This window comes from Homo sapiens, chromosome 11, assembly GCF_000001405.40.
Source record: "Homo sapiens chromosome 11, GRCh38.p14 Primary Assembly".
Classification (NCBI taxonomy): domain Eukaryota; kingdom Metazoa; phylum Chordata; class Mammalia; order Primates; family Hominidae; genus Homo; species Homo sapiens.
The window spans coordinates 75,446,660-75,461,679 of NC_000011.10; the positions used below are offsets into that span (position 1 = coordinate 75,446,660).

General features: G+C 53.2%; 1 protein-coding gene across 20 annotated transcripts in view, besides 2 other annotated features; it reads right to left on the reverse strand.

Annotated features, from left to right (window-relative positions):
• GDPD5 (glycerophosphodiester phosphodiesterase domain containing 5) overlaps positions 1-15,020 on the reverse strand; it is a 91,302-nt gene that overhangs the window by 12,020 nt on the left and 64,262 nt on the right. For 15 of the 20 annotated variants that reach the window (XM_047427654.1, XM_047427645.1, XM_047427653.1 and 12 more), the window contains 5 exons: positions 11,034-11,127; positions 10,098-10,157; positions 3,226-3,324; positions 2,858-2,951; positions 2,318-2,463 (listed from right to left, as the gene is read on the reverse strand). In XM_047427654.1, coding sequence (XP_047283610.1) covers positions 2,318-2,463; positions 2,858-2,951; positions 3,226-3,324; positions 10,098-10,157; positions 11,034-11,127 — 493 coding nt within the window. 20 annotated transcript variants of the gene reach the window in all.
• Positions 9,680-10,278: an enhancer, noted in NCBI's record as "H3K4me1 hESC enhancer chr11:75167384-75167982 (GRCh37/hg19 assembly coordinates)". NCBI's record gives its function as "activates a minimal SCP1, AML or CMV promoter by ChIP-STARR-seq in naive H9 embryonic stem cells {active_cell/tissue: H9 hESC(naive)}" and the evidence as "EXISTENCE:reporter gene assay evidence [ECO:0000049][PMID:30033119]".
• Positions 14,152-14,654: an enhancer, noted in NCBI's record as "H3K4me1 hESC enhancer chr11:75171856-75172358 (GRCh37/hg19 assembly coordinates)". NCBI's record gives its function as "activates a minimal SCP1, AML or CMV promoter by ChIP-STARR-seq in naive H9 embryonic stem cells {active_cell/tissue: H9 hESC(naive)}" and the evidence as "EXISTENCE:reporter gene assay evidence [ECO:0000049][PMID:30033119]".

A 15,020-nucleotide genomic window follows, 5' to 3' on the forward strand; every position in this document is an offset into this window, starting at 1 on the left:
CTCCAAGACAGAGATGTGCACTTGGGCTCACCACACACAGACATGTGGACCCAGAGTCAGAGCCCCCCAAGGCAATGCACAGGGACACACAGAGGGGACCCTTGCCAGCCCCTCAAAAACTACCACCAGGGCATGATCAGTCAGATGCAGAATGTGAAAAATCCCACAGGACAAATGACTCCATTTCTCAGGACAAATAAACAGCTTAAGGGAAAAAAGGGACGGGGAACTTTTTTTTTTTGAGACGGAATTTCACTCTTGTTGCCCAGGCTGGAGTGCAATGGCGCAATCTCGGCTCGCTGCAACCTCCGCCTCCCGGATTCAAGCAATTCTCCTGTCTCAGCCTCCCAAGTAGCTGGGATTACAGGCATGTACCACCACATCCAGCTAATGTTGTATTTTTAGTAGAGATGGGGTTTCTCCATGTTGATCAGGCTGGTCTCGAACTCCTGACCTCAGGTGATCTGCCTGCCTTGGCCTCCCAAAGTGCTGGGATTACAAGCATGAGCCACTGAGCCCAGCCGGGGGATTGTTACAAATCAAAAGGCACTCAGGAGACACGCCAACCAGATGCGTGCTGTGGACCACATTTGGATCCTGATTTTTAACAACTAAACTGTAAAAAGATATTTTCGAGACAATAAAAGGAAATTGAACATGGATTCCATTTTAGATAATATTAAGGAATCATTATCCTTAATATTGGCTGGGTGTAATAACAGCATTGTTGCTATGCATCTTTCTGAAGTCCTCATGTGTTACAGATACATCCTGAAGTGCCTATGGGTAAGACGATGCGATGCCTAAGATTTGCTTTACTACCCCAGAAAAAAAAGTAGGGAACAGATGAAGCAAGAATGGCCAAACGTAGATAAGTATGGGATTGGATTCATTACATCCTTCTTCATTATGTGAGTCATTATATGCTTTTCTCCACTTCTGCATATATTTGACCTTTTTCTACTAAAGAAAACCATCCTCGCTGGGGCCACCTTCCTGCTTCAGCATACCACTTATGTCCCCTGGCTGCTGGAGGGAGCCCAGGAGATGGTAATCTGAGTCATGGAGACAGGAGGGGCCATCGTTTTAAGCCCCTCAGAAGAGTTCCCCTGCCCCCACTGGGAAGGCTGGGCTCCAATTGGTCCTCACAATAACCAGCAGCATGGGCATCCATACCTTTGAGGCACAGAGGGGACTGGTGACCCCTCCAAGATGCACAGGCAGCATGTGGCCAAACTGGACACCAGATCCAGATCCCCACTGGCTGCCTCTGGGAGGGACTGGGGTCAGCACTGGAGTCTGGCTCAGGGGCTGGAGTCTTATCGAGAAAATAATACCCACCACATGCAGGGGGCCAGACTTCCAGAGTGAGTGGCAGCCCGGCAGACCCAGCACCTCCTTCCAAAGCAGTTATGTGAGACCCCCTTACTACCCTGAGGTCCCACAACAGCCTGGAACACCAGGAAGCCAAGCCCTCAGGAAGTGCTCACACACACCCCCACTTGGCAGGGTGGGGGTGTGTACTACCTCTGCTAAGAAGCCTGGGTTCAAGGCTTTCATGGAGCAGGAGACCCTGCTCCAGAGAGATGGCCCTGCCCAAGGTAACAGCAGTGTCTGCCTCTTACTTTCTGTGCACCATGTGCATATTTGGGCACTGCACACATGCTAACTCCTGCTCCTCATAGCCCCACAGCAGGTGCTCTCACTAGTCCCATGGTACAAGATGGGGGAACCAGGCAAAGAGATGGAAACTGTTGGGCCTCCCACAGCTGGTGAGGAGCTGTGCTGGGATGCTAACTCAGGCAACATGGCTCTGGAGCCTGCCCTCTCACCGAAGCTCTCCTGCAGGGCTATGGAGTGCACTGGTGGCAGAATGCGGCGCTGACTTTGATCCCTTCGTCTTTCTCCAACTCACGTCGGTTCAGCCGTACTCACTGTCACAGTGGGCTCTGAGCTGCCTCCCAGCTCTCCTGGAGGGTTCTCCTGATGCCTGGTGGCAGACCCCAGGCCCCACACTCAGCATCCATCTCCTGGGCCTTCCTAACTGGCACCTGGGTCTAGCCTGGGCCTAAAACCCTCCTGCATCTTTGCAGGGCACTTAGGACAAAACTGAAATCTTTTTAGCAAGATGCCTTCAGGACGCTTCAAGATGTGCTTCCATCCCAGCACTCCCGGCCTTTTTGCCAGTCCTTCCCATGTACCTCCCCTCAAAAAGCTACAAATGGTTGCTACCATTACATATATCCATTTCCCAAGAAGGTCCCCCCCATCGCACCCCACCCCAACGGGGCTGTTAGGACCCTGAGGTGGCACTCACCATGGGGGCCCCGCGGTGGCCAATGAGAGCAGGCTTGGGGCCGAGGTCTTTCTTCTCCATGATGCAGGGAGAGGAGATGGTGAGAGGGGCCAGGTAGAGGGCAAACACCACGGTGAAGAAGGTACAGAGAATGGTCACCTGGGAGGCTGCAGATAAGGGGCCGTGAGTGCTGCCTGGTGAGCCCTGGGCAGGTTGGGGTGCAATGCTGGACCCCTCTACCCCCGACCTGTCAGGATCCAGGTGCTCTAGGGGGAAGCCCTTATTCTTGCTGGGAAGATGAACCCCGCCTCTAACTCACACAGACACAGGTGCATACATGCAGAGAGAGAGACATGGAGGAGGAATACAGTGTGAGGCCGACTGAAGCTGTGACCCTCCGTGGACTCTGTGGGCCACTCTGAGCCAGAATCCCCCTCACTGAGTGCAGGGGCCCCACCCCATCCCCAGGCCACCCCCAGGGAAAGCCCAGGTCGGGGCAGCACCAGCTGGTCTTGGCACCTGCAGGGATTGGAGGGGCAGGCCCTTCACAGTTCTACTCACAGGTCCGCTCTGCGCGGGCGAACTGTCCTGCCACGATCCAGGAGAGCATGGTGACTGCTGCCACAGCCCCCACATGCAGGAATGGCGCTGTGCCCTGTTTGCAGGGAGAGGGAAGGGAGACCAGTAACGCCCAGCTCTGCCCAGACCCTGTGTCACCAGCCTCCTACTTCTACCTATGAGGCAGGCAACCCTGTCTCCATCTGCCAACTGGGGACACTGGGAGCCTCAGGACCCTGGTGTCCTCCCTAGTTCTGACCTGCTCTGTGACCCTGGGCGCCTCCCTGCCCTTCTTTGGGCCTTGGTCTGGAGAAAGGGAAGTGACAGAAAGGCTCTTGTTGTGAGGGTCCTGGGGGACCCTCCTCACTCACCTGCAGGGAGATCAGCAGCACCTCCCACTCGTCCTCCCACAGCTGGGCCACGGCCGACATGGCCACCACCGTGGAAGCCAGGATGACCACCAGCCCGATCTGGAGGGGGAAGAGTCACCGGACAGAGGCTCAGAGCGGGTGGGAGGGTTCCCAGTGTGTCTGAGAGAGGAGCCAGAGGGAGAGACAGAGAGGGCAGGAGAGGCCGATGGAGCAGGGCAGAGGGGAGGGAGGAAAGAGACAGGCATGGGCTGCCAGGAAACTAGAGGCCGGCAGATAGACACGGCAGGGAGAGACTGAGGCAGGAGGAGGCAGCAGGAGGCCGGCAGACCCAGCGAGGAAGGGACAGCGAGAAATGGAAGGGAGGATGGGGACAGGAGGAGGAGGGAACTGTGAGGAGGGAGGACATTCAGTAAGGGGGACCTCCCTGGGCCTGGCAGGTTAGTCACATCCAAGGTCCCGCCCAGCCTCCCTGCCACCTCAGCATGGCACAGCAGAGGAGGAAACCCACTTGTCCAGGCCATGCCCAGGCCTCAGGGGAAGGAGGCTGAGGAACTGGGTCTGCTGCAGGAGCCTGGAGTGCAGCCCAGCCTGGCACCCTGGGCTGGGCTCACAGTGGCACTTCAGGCGGGAGTGGGTGGTGAAACACATCGCCACCTGCCCCATCTCCACGGCCTGCCCTCTCCCGGACTCCCAGCATCTAGGTCCGCCGTGATGGGGGCCATCCTCCTTGCAGCCTCCAGAAGAAAGCAAAGCACAGCTCTCATGGAGGATGAGGTGGCACCTCTACGGGACAGAGATCTCTGGTGACAGGTAAGACCTGAAATCTTTAACCACGTGAAGCTCGGCAGAGGTTTTCGGCTCCTCGGCCCCCAGCCCCTCGCCCCTAGCCGTGGATCTCACTCCACCCACCCCCCTCCACACCCCCAGGCGTGCCTCCCCGAAGCCCAGGTTGTGGCTCTCCTCCAAAGCCTCCCGCAGATCCCAGTCTCTGGAAGGGTCAGTCAAAGCCGCCACCTCCGTCCCCCTAGTTTCTCCAGACTCGTCTCCCATCTCCCTCCAAAGGCCTGTCCTTCTCCCACAGCACTGCCGGCCGCCCTGCCTCCCTGGAGCCGTTCTAGCTGCTGGCAGGGCCTTCACCCCCTTTCTCCCGAGGCAACCTTTCCCAGAGGCAGCAGCGGCCAGGGCCCTCTGATGCCGAGCAGGGACAGTGGCATTTCTAGACGATGAGGGTGGGGCGGTGGCCAGCATCTCCGCTCCCTACCCAGGGACCTTCACTCGCCGGCGGGGAATGCTGAGTCTCGCCTGGGATGAAGTTTCCCTTTGGAGGCTTTTCATTCCAGCCCATCAGCCTGGAAACAAATGTTCCCCCAAGAGACCTGAGCGAGGCAGGTGAGGAGCTGGAAGGGCTGTGACATGGGGGCTCGGGGCGGGAAGAGGCATGGGCGTGCCTGGGCCTGTGGGGGCGCTTCGCGTGGTCCCCAGGTTGGTTCCGCGGAGGCACGAGCATCCTCATCTCACACACGGGAAGCGAGGTTCGGGGAGAGGAACAGCTGGCTGGGTCACGGAGCTTTGAAGGGGCAGAACCAGAAACGAACACCTTCTGCCCATCTCAGGGGGTAAGGGGGTGTGCGCTTTCTCGGACAGACAGCACGCTGGTGTCAGAGAGGCTGCGCAGTCTCTGGGAGGCCCAGCTGCGCCTCCGAACCCCTGAGAACCCCGCCCTCGGCACTCAGGCCCCTTCTCCCGGCTGCCCCCGGCGCGCAGCTCCCCCTTGTGGCCATCGTGGGAGGTGGCCCTGCACACAGTGAGTTAAGGATGGTTTCCAGGAGCATCTCATCACAATACCTATTAATGGAAACGACTTGCAATAAAACTGATTCCCCAAACCCTAATACAATTAAAAATGTTATTATCTCTGAGTTCCACAGTTGCTTTGGTGCTAATCAACACACTCAGCAGCATCACTGCATGTTCAGTGTCTGTGGGACTTCCCTACCTTGCATCATTAAGTTATAGCAATAGCACTGACACCCAAAAACGCAACCACCATCGCTCCTGAAATCTGACTGAGAAGGATGAATCCCACCCTAGAGGCCCAGAGACAGATCACCGTCCTCCTCTGAGAAAGTGGCCTTGGGTTCTCTGTCTTCATGGGACTGTGGCTTGTGATAGCCATGGTGGGTACAGGGGATACAACAGAGTCTTTCATTCATTCGATGAGTCTGGCCTAGGTGCCGGGACCCGAGAGGAGGTGGAACCCCGCCTTGCAGAGGTGCAACAGCTGGCCTCTTAGGGGTATCTGGCCTCTGGGTTTTGCAGTCCAAATGGCAGACAGCTGGCCCAGGGTTAAGAGCCTCACTTGAATCACGGTCTTCAGTCGAATCCTGGCTCTGCTACCTACTGGGGATCTTTCCACATCCTCTCCAGGGACCTTTCCAGAGCTGTGAAATAGGGATAGTGAGTACCTACCTGGAAGGGGGTTGGGGAAGATCAGTGAGGAAATGCAAGTGAAATGCTTAGTACAACGGCTGGCCAGAAGAAAATGCTTACTAAATCTCAGTGATATCATTTTAAAAAGTGAGCATGATATGGGAACAGGATTATTGTGAGGAGTGAAATGACTGTGAAATTCTGAGTGAAAGGTGCCTGACACATGTGGTCAGCACCCAATAAAGGATGGTTACTGCTGTTATGGTGAACGCAGTGCCTGGCACACACAGGAGGTGCTCAGTGAATGCGCCTTCCTTAAGCTGCTGCTGGAGGGACAGAGGCTGGACACCAGGAAAAACCATAAAGCTGGGGCCAGTGCATGGAGAGAAGTCTGAATTCACCAGGAGAGGTGATGAAGTAGACATAGCAGATGGCAGGTAGAGGCTGATGGAGCCTTGGTAGGAGGCAGAAGCCCCAGCCCCAGCCCAGCCAGTAACTTGCCTTGGGGCTGTGTGGTACCCAGTGCTCCTCTCTGGGGCTCAGGTTGGGTCGCTGACAGACGCCTCCTCTGTGCAGGTCCTGGGCTGGGGGCTGCTGCCACTGAGGCAGGGGAGTCAGGCGAGGACAGAAGAGCAGTGCAGTGTGCTCAGGGCAGCCTGGGGAGGTGTGAGCTGTGACCAAAACACCTCACAGAGGGCGGTGGGTGGGGCAGGAAGGGGGGCATCTCAGGGAAAGGGCCTCCTGTTTACTGTAAAGCTCCCAAGAACCCTTCAGCCTGCTCCCTCACCTCCTGGGTACCTCAATTTCTCCTGAACACTCACCTGGGAGAGATTTCTGGGAAACAGGAGATTTTGGCAGACTGGGGAGGAGGAGGAAGGTCCCCACATAAGCACCAGATCTACTCAGCACCCAGCCTGCTGTGAATGGCTCCCTCTCACCCTGTCCTGAGCATCTCTGTCCTCCCCTCCTCAGGACCCAGGGGAACCAGAGACTCTCAAACTTCATGATTAAAACATACTATAGGCCAGGCATGGTGGATCATGCCTGTAGTCCCAGCACTTTGGGAGGCCGAGGTGGGCGGATCACGAGGTCAGGAGATCAAGACCACCCTAGCTAACACGGTGAAACCTCGTCTCTACTAAAAATACAAAAAAATTAGCTGGGCTGGTGGCCGGTGCCTGTAGTCCCAGCTACTCGGGAGGCTGAGGCAGGAGAATGGGGTGAACCCAGGAGGTGGAGCTTGCAGTGAGCCAAGATCGTGCCACTGCACTCCAGCCTGGGCGACACAGCAAGACTGTCTCTAAAAAAAAAAAAAAAAATACAAACATACTATAAAACTGTGGTCTTTAGAGTGCTATGTTGCTGATGTAAGACCAGATAGATAAATGAAAATAAGCAAAAAATTCATAAATAGATCCAAATACATAAAGAAAATTTAGTATATGATAAAAATAGCATCTCAAATGAATAAAGGACAAATTCTCAGTAGAGAGAGTTGGAAACGTTGGGAAGCCATCTAAAAAGAACAGAGTAAGATCACACTATACCCCAAAATAGCTTCCAAAAAGAGAAAAAATTAAATGTTAAAAACGTGGAAATATATAATTACCAAGTGACACCATAGAAAAATTTTTATAATCTTGGAGTGGGAAAGACCTTTCTGAGTCTGACACAAAACCAAGGAGTCATCAAGAGATGACAGATTCAAGTATGTAAGAATAAAAAAATATATATCCCCATGGTAAAAACGCAATGAGCAAAGTCCAAGGATGAATGACAAACTAGGAAGAATTATTTGCAGTTTGTTAGCCAAATGGCTAATTTCCCACATCTATAAAGAGTTCCTGCAAATGAATAAGCAAAAAGCAATGGCAAAAATGGCAAAAGATATGAAGAGACAGTTTTATAGAAAAGAAAACACAAGTTACTCAAACATGTGAAAAATGCCGAATCTAACTCACCCGAAGGGAAATGCAAATGAAAACTACAGCAAGGTACCACTTTTCACCCATCAGGCTGACAAAAGCCAATAAATCAGCTGATGCTTTATGGGCAAGGGTGTTTTTATAGAACAACTATCCATTGCTAAGAGAGCATGAATCGGAGGCACTTGGCAAGGAGGCCATTTGGCAAGATCAAAATGATGAAAGTACACATTCTTCACCCAGAAATTCCTCTCCCAGGTCACCACCACATCGTCCTGGCAAAAGACAGAAAGCAGCTGGGATGTCGATCCGGTCTATCAACAGGGAACTGGCTAGACGCCTAGGGAATCAGGGAATATCCAGACCAGGGAGCAGGAGCAAGGGATGGATACCAACAGGGATGCTTTAATGCAGCGAAGAAGGAGCTCCAAGAATTCTGTTAAGGTGCGGAACAGAGGGTGGAGTAGGCGACTGTTTGTGTTTAAAGAAAAAAGAAAAAGGAAATGCATATGTACATGTGCATGTGCTTAAAATCTGTCTGGAAAGATAGTGAGGAGACTTTCTTTGTATACTTTTTTGTGCTTTTTGTATTTTGAATCATGTCGATGTATTACATGGTCAAAAGTTAATTAAAGCAAACAAAAAAGAATAAAGAGTCCTTAGAATTTTAGAATCAAATGGCAGAATCTTAGAAACAGAAGAGAATTTCCAGGCCCTGCTGGAACACTCTGAGCTCTGGGGAACTCCCTCCTGGTGGGGCGGGTCGAGCTCTGGGTCAGCTCCACCTGAAAGGACCCTGCTCATGCTGCGATCTCACATAGGGGGCAGAGGGCAGAGGAAGGCACCCTGGGAGCTGGCACCAGCATGGACAATGGGATCTGCTTCCTTGCATTGATCTGCCAGCTCCAGCTGGCTCAGCGGCTCTATAGGCCTCTCCACTAGAATCAAGCATGTGTGACCTTACCTGCTGAGAGCCAGGCATGGCCCCAGAAGGTGACCACAGCATGTGCCAGCCCCACCCGGGGTGCCAGCTGGTGCAGTTCTTTCAAATGCCAGCTTTGCAGCCAGGAGAAGAAACTCCCTCACAGAGGGGATAGTGGAAGCCCAGAGGAGGCCTGTGAGTAGAGTGAGGGCAGGAGGAAGGTGGGGGGACCAGGGGCTGCTCACGGCTCCTACCACTCTAAGACTTCAGTCTCTGGGGTCTGACTCCCAAGCTCCAGGCCCATGTAACAAACCGGCCTCGGTGCCTCCCTGGATGCTCACAGGCACCTCCCACTCCACACAGCCCAACCCAGGCTCATGCTGTCCCCTCTTCCTTTCCTATTCCACATCCGTCTTCTAGCTAGAAGTGAGCCCCTCCCCTTGGAGTCATTCTGGCCCCATCTCATGGGCTCATGGTAGTTTCTGAACATTTCTGCCCTTTCCTAAATGGCAGGCCCACGGGGAGCCAGGCTCTGGGGAAAGGGAGACGATCCAGATGTTCCTGGGAGGGAGGGGCTCTGCCTTGGTCAGCTCGGTACCACTCTGTGCCCACCAGGGCCCCAAGAAGGCCAGGCATCAGAAACACACTTCAGCACTATGCCTGCAATGGACGTAAGGCAGAGAGTTAAGGCTCCGGAATGGGTGAAGCCTGTCTGCTTTGGGCCCAGCCCTGAGGGGGGGCACTGGGAACAGGGAGATGGAGGTTAACTCTGGCCTGCAAAGAGCACCTTGACTGGGTGGGTCGGGGTCAGGGAGCCAGACGAATACTGAAAACACAAAAACATAGCTGTTCAGACATGTAGCAGGGGAGGCTGCAGGGGCTGAGGAAGTCCCGGGAGAGAATCCTGTGTATGTAGGGGAGGTACTGAGGAAGGGGTCCGAGAGAAAAAGGGAGGGCAAGAGCAAAGTGCTAAACGGGGGAAGGAGGCAGACATGCTGGGAGAGCATGAGATGTCTCATGTAGCAGAAGCTGAGGGTGACTGTCCCATGATGGGTTGGGAGATCAGCAGGGGCCAGATCATGCCAGGTAGGGAAGTTTGGGTCATCCTGGGAGCGGTGGGAGTGGTGGAAAGGCTTTAAGTTGGGGAATGCCATCGCCAGATCAGGGTTTTCAAAAGAGCTCACCAAAGAAGGAAGAGGCAGGTGAGACCCGAGGCAGGGCCCCCAGAGGGTGGGTGCCACAGTATGAGCTGTGAGCTCTGCTGGTTAATCACATGACTGCGGGACCCTGGATCTTCCATGTTTAAACTGGGAGACCTTAGGCAAATCACTTAACCTCTTTGTACTTCAGTTTCCCCAACCACAAAATGGAATGATAACAGTACCTACATCACAAGGTTGCTGTAAGGGTTAAGTGAATGAAGACGGGTGAGGTTGTGAGAAAAGTGCTTGGCGCATAGTGAGTGCTCAGCCTTAGCTATGAGAACAATTCTAACGGTGATCCAGGGGAGGGACATGGTGGCCAGGCCCTTCCTCTGCTGCTGCTGCCTCCAGCTTCCCTTGCTCTCTCCCAGCCCCGGCCGAGGCGGCCCTTACCTTGTGCAGCCAGTGCAGGTTCATCTGCTGCCCCACGGCAATGTGACATAGTGCCAGGACCTGAGGAGGGACCCACAGGGTGATTGTCAGGCCCGTGTGGGCGGGAAGGCTTTGCCAGTTTCTCAGACACCCTGCTCCCCACTGCGGCTCTGGGCCTGACCCTGGGCAGAGGCAGCGAACCTCCCTCCAGGCGATGGGAATGCGCTGCCCTCCCCAGCCCAGCCCAGACTAGCCAGCCTGAGCCTGGCCTCCTCCCAGATGATTCCAGGCCTCTAGGCTCTTCCTCTGTGTGATTCCCCGTCAAGAGGTCACTGGGTGCTGCTGTACTTGGACTACTCAACTTCATTCATCAAACATTTTGGGAGTTCCAGTCCCCGGGATTCTGAAACAGACTTGAGCCTGTCCCCAAGGAGCCCCCAGTCCAGCATGGGGGATCCACCTGCATCTCAGTGAGTGGAATATCGGGAGCAAGAGCCTGAAGCAGAGGCTCCTGGAAGAGGAAGCCTGCAGTGGGCCCTCTCGGCCAGGACAGCTCTCACTGGGTCCGGGGCAAACATTCCAGGAAGGGGCAGCCTAGAGAGACGGGCAAAAGCAAGAGGACCTCCTGCTTTGGGGGACCCAGGCCTCAGGTGCAGCAGCCCGAGAGGCCCTGGGCAAAATCTGAATTAATGTGCCATATGTAGCCAACTTCCTACTAGTGGCATGAAATAGCTTCTGATTAGTCGCTATTATAAATTAAGATAAAAATGAAAATGTTATACATATCTTTCTGTATTTTTGATTACTTCCTTAGGATACATTCCTACAAATACAATATTCCTACAAATACAGCTTTCCCCTTTATACCAGGGTGGGACCCTCCATCAGCCCAGCACAGGGCCAGTATCCCTTCCCCTGGGAGCAGGGCCACCTGCCCTCCAAAACAGCCCCATGTACCAGGAGGCCAGCGATGTATGCGAAGGCAGCAGCTGTGGTCACAAGGATGGGTACGGGCCAGTCGCTCCAGTAGCCCATGCGGTTGTAGAGGTACCTGCCAGGAGGAGAGGGGGCAGGGGTCAGACCTCCACCAGGCCACTACCTGGCCCAGGAATCAGGATGGTCTGAGCCTCCACACAGACGACAGGCTGGGCTCAGTGACCAGGCTGTGCCCACCTAGCAATAAGGCTCAGCGTCTGCCTGATGCTCTACCATGCCTGCTCATGGCAGCCACCCGGGGACCAAGAAATGTAAAGGAGAAAATAATGCCCCATAATCCTATTGGCCAGAAGTAATCATTACCAAGGCTGTGCTGGATCTTCCTCCTGTGGGTTCCCCCGCCCCCATGCCTATATGTTTGTATAAACAGCAAAGCCAGGACCCCGCTGCACAAAGCAACACGGTCAGGAGCACAGGCTTTGGAGTGAGGCACACAGGCTGGATTCACATCCCCTCTCGTCTCTGCTTTTCACTGTCTTGTAGGACCTTGTGGAGGACAGGCTTCACTGATTCTAAGATGCCATCGATTGTCACTGTCATCTCAACTTCAATGTTAAGATGTGAAAATTGGGGGTCTTAGAATTGATCGAATGTAATACTTGACTTCTCTGAGCCTTAGTTTCCTCACCTATAGGATGGGGATAAGAAAGTGCCTTTTGAAGCCAGGTGTGGTGGCTCACGCCTGTAATCCCAGCACTTGGGAGGCTGAGGCGGGCGGATCACGAGGTCAGGAGATCGAGACCATCCTGGCTAACATGGTGAAACCCCATCTCTACTAAAAATACAAAAAATTAGCCGGGCGTTGTGGCAGGCGTCTGTAGTCCCAGCTACTCGGGAGGCCGAGGCAGGAGAATGGGGTGAACCTGGGAGGCAGAGCTTGCAATGAGCAGAGATCGCAGTACTACACTCCAGCCTGGGCGACAGTGTGAGACTCTGTCTCAAAAATAAATAAATAAATAAATAAATAAAATAAATAAATAAAAAGTGCCTTTCATGGGGTCTCATGAGGATGAAGTGAGGTGAGATGCATGGTAACTACTCAATAAACTCTCTTTGTTTTTGTTTGTTTGTTTGAGACAGGGTCTCTGTCACTGAGGCTGGAGTGCAGGGATGCGAACATGGCTCACTGAAGCTTTGACCTCCTGGGCTCAAGCAATCCTCCTACCTCAGCTGGGACCATAGGCACCCACCAAAATATCGGGCTAATTTTTTTTGTATTTTTTGTAGAGGCAGGGTCTTGCCATGTTTCCCAGGCTGATCTCAAACTCCTGAGCTCAGGTGATCCTCCTACCTCAGCCTCCCAAAGTGCTGGGATTATAGGCGTGAGCCACCACACCTGGCCAACTGTCTTCTCAACACAAGCATTTACTTATGCCAGTAAAAATCCTGAGAAAATGTGATTTTTAAAATAGCCACGTGGTTTTCCACTGAATTAATGTACCATATGTAGCCAGCTTCCTACTAGTGGCATGAAATAGTTTCTAATTCTTCACAATTATAAATTAACATAAAAATGAAATTTTTATACATATCTTTCTGTATTTTTGATTACTTCCTTAGGATAGATTCCTACAGATACAATTATAGGGTCAAAGAGAATGAATTTTTTTTTTTTTTTTTTGAGACAGGGTCTTGCTATGTTGCCCAGGGTGAACTTGAATTCCTGGGCTCAAGCAATCCTCCCATCTCAGCCTCCCCAGTACCTGGGACTATAGGCACATACCACTGTGGCTGGTGGGATTGAAATTTTTAAGGGGCATGATAGATACTGCTTAGATGCTCTCCAGAAAGAATGAACTACCCACATCCGGCTGGGCGCGGTGGCTCACGCCTGTAATCCCAGCACTTTGGGAGGCTGAGGCGGGCAGATCACGAGGTCAGGAGATCAAGACCACGGTGAAACCCCGTCTCTACTAAAAATACAAAAAATTAGCCAGGAGTGGTGGCAGACACCTGTAGTTCCAGCTACTTGGGAGGCTGAGGCAGGAGAATGGCGTGAACCTGGGAGGCGGAGCTTGCAGTGAGCTGAGATCATACCACTGCACTCCAGCCTGGGTGACAGAGCGAGACTGTCTCAAAAAAAAAAAAAAAAAAGAATGAACTACTCACATCCTCCTTGTACAAAGGGGGAAACTGAGGCTCAAAAGAGGCAGCAACTTGTTCAAGGTCATCAGAAAATCTGAGCGCTGGGCAGCTTCAGCCTGCTGTCATCTGGGACCTTGCCAGACAGCTGGGAAGGGACACCGGGAGGAACCCATGGGGCATCTGCCCTCCCTGGCCCTCATCCTCAGAGTCCAGGGGAAAATCTACTGCCTGGCAGATCACTGAATGCACTCACCTTACCATACCGTTGGGAAACTGAGGCCTGAAGAGGGGCAAGACTTGCTCCTGATAACTATTCCTGAAAGATGTTCTGGTTCCATTTGTCTCTCAAGTGTGACCACTTTTAGCAGGGAGTCCTTGAGGACAGCAACAGCCAAGACGGCCCTCCCTGGCCCTCCTCATCCAGTGCTGATCCCTGGCTGTCACTCACATCCTCTTACTGTATGAATTGAATTATTCCCAGAGATTCTTTTTTTTTTGAGACAGAGTCTCACTCTGTTGCCCAGCCTGGAGTGCAGTGGTCTCCCAGCTAGAGATGTGGTCTCCCAGGAAGCAACCCTCATGTTTAGGTAGAGCTTTGAGCCCTCTTATGTTCATCATCTCATTGCATCCTCAGAAAGACCTGATGAGGTTAGAGTTACCCCATTTTACAGAATGGGGTAAAATGTGATCTCGGCTCACTGCACTGCAACCTCCACCTCCCAGGCTCAAGCAATCTTCCCACCTCAGCCTCCCGAGTAGCTGGGACCACAGGCATATGCCACCACACCTGGCTAATTTTTTGTAGTTTTTGTAGAGATGGGGTTTTTTCATGTTGTCCAGGCTGGTCTTGAACACCTGGACTCACATGATCTGCCCGCCTTGGCCTCCCAACGTGCTGAGATTACAGGCATGAGTCATTGTGCCCGGTCCCCAGAGACTCTTGAGACTATCAGGACTGGGCCGGGGCATCCTGAACCCCAGCACTGACTCCAAGAAACTGAGGCGACAGGCTGAAGGAGCTGCAGGTCTCCAGGCATCCCTAAGTGCCAGGCAGGCCTCCCCTTGCCACCACCCCAACAGGGCGGGAACCCATCCTCTGCTTGAAACTCCCAGTGACAGGGAGCTCACTCTCTGGGTAGAGTGGGTAGCTCCATGGACATGACACAGTCAGGCAGGCTGAAGTCCCGGTCCCAGATCTGTCTGCTTCTTGCTGTGTGACGCTGGAAAGGCTACTTAACCTCTCTAAGCCTTGGTCTCTTCAGTCTGTCCTCAATTCATGTTTTTGGCACTAACTGGTTGTGTGACCATGAATGAGTCTTCACCCTCTCTGGGCCTCCATTTCCCCATCTGTACATGATGGGGGTAGACTTGATGATCTTCTAGGCAGCAGACTCCAGTTCCGAGGAACTGTCTGGGTCTGCAGTTGAGGGCCAGTAGGGAACGTTCCCATTTACTCATGACAGTGCCCATGCTTTGGACATCTGCAAAGATGAATAATTGATTTATGGCATTTAATAAAGGCCAGAGGCCACCTCTGGGACTCTGCCAGGGCTCCGGCTCATCTTGCTTGGCTGCCGCAGGGCAGGGGTGGGACCGCAGCATATTCTTGATTGTGCTCATTAATAAGAGAGGCACAGCCTGGTGCCATACGGGGAAAAGTGGACACCCAGCTCCATGAGCAGAGTCCCAGGATCATCACAGAATCCTAACACCACAGCCTGTCAGAAGCCCAGGGTCCTGAAAATCCCAAATGCTAACATCATGCTGCCTTCCGGCTAGAGATGTGGTCTCCTAGGAAGCAGCCCTCATGTTTAGGTAGAGCTTTGAGCCCTGTTGTGTCCATCATCTCAGTTCATCCTCAGA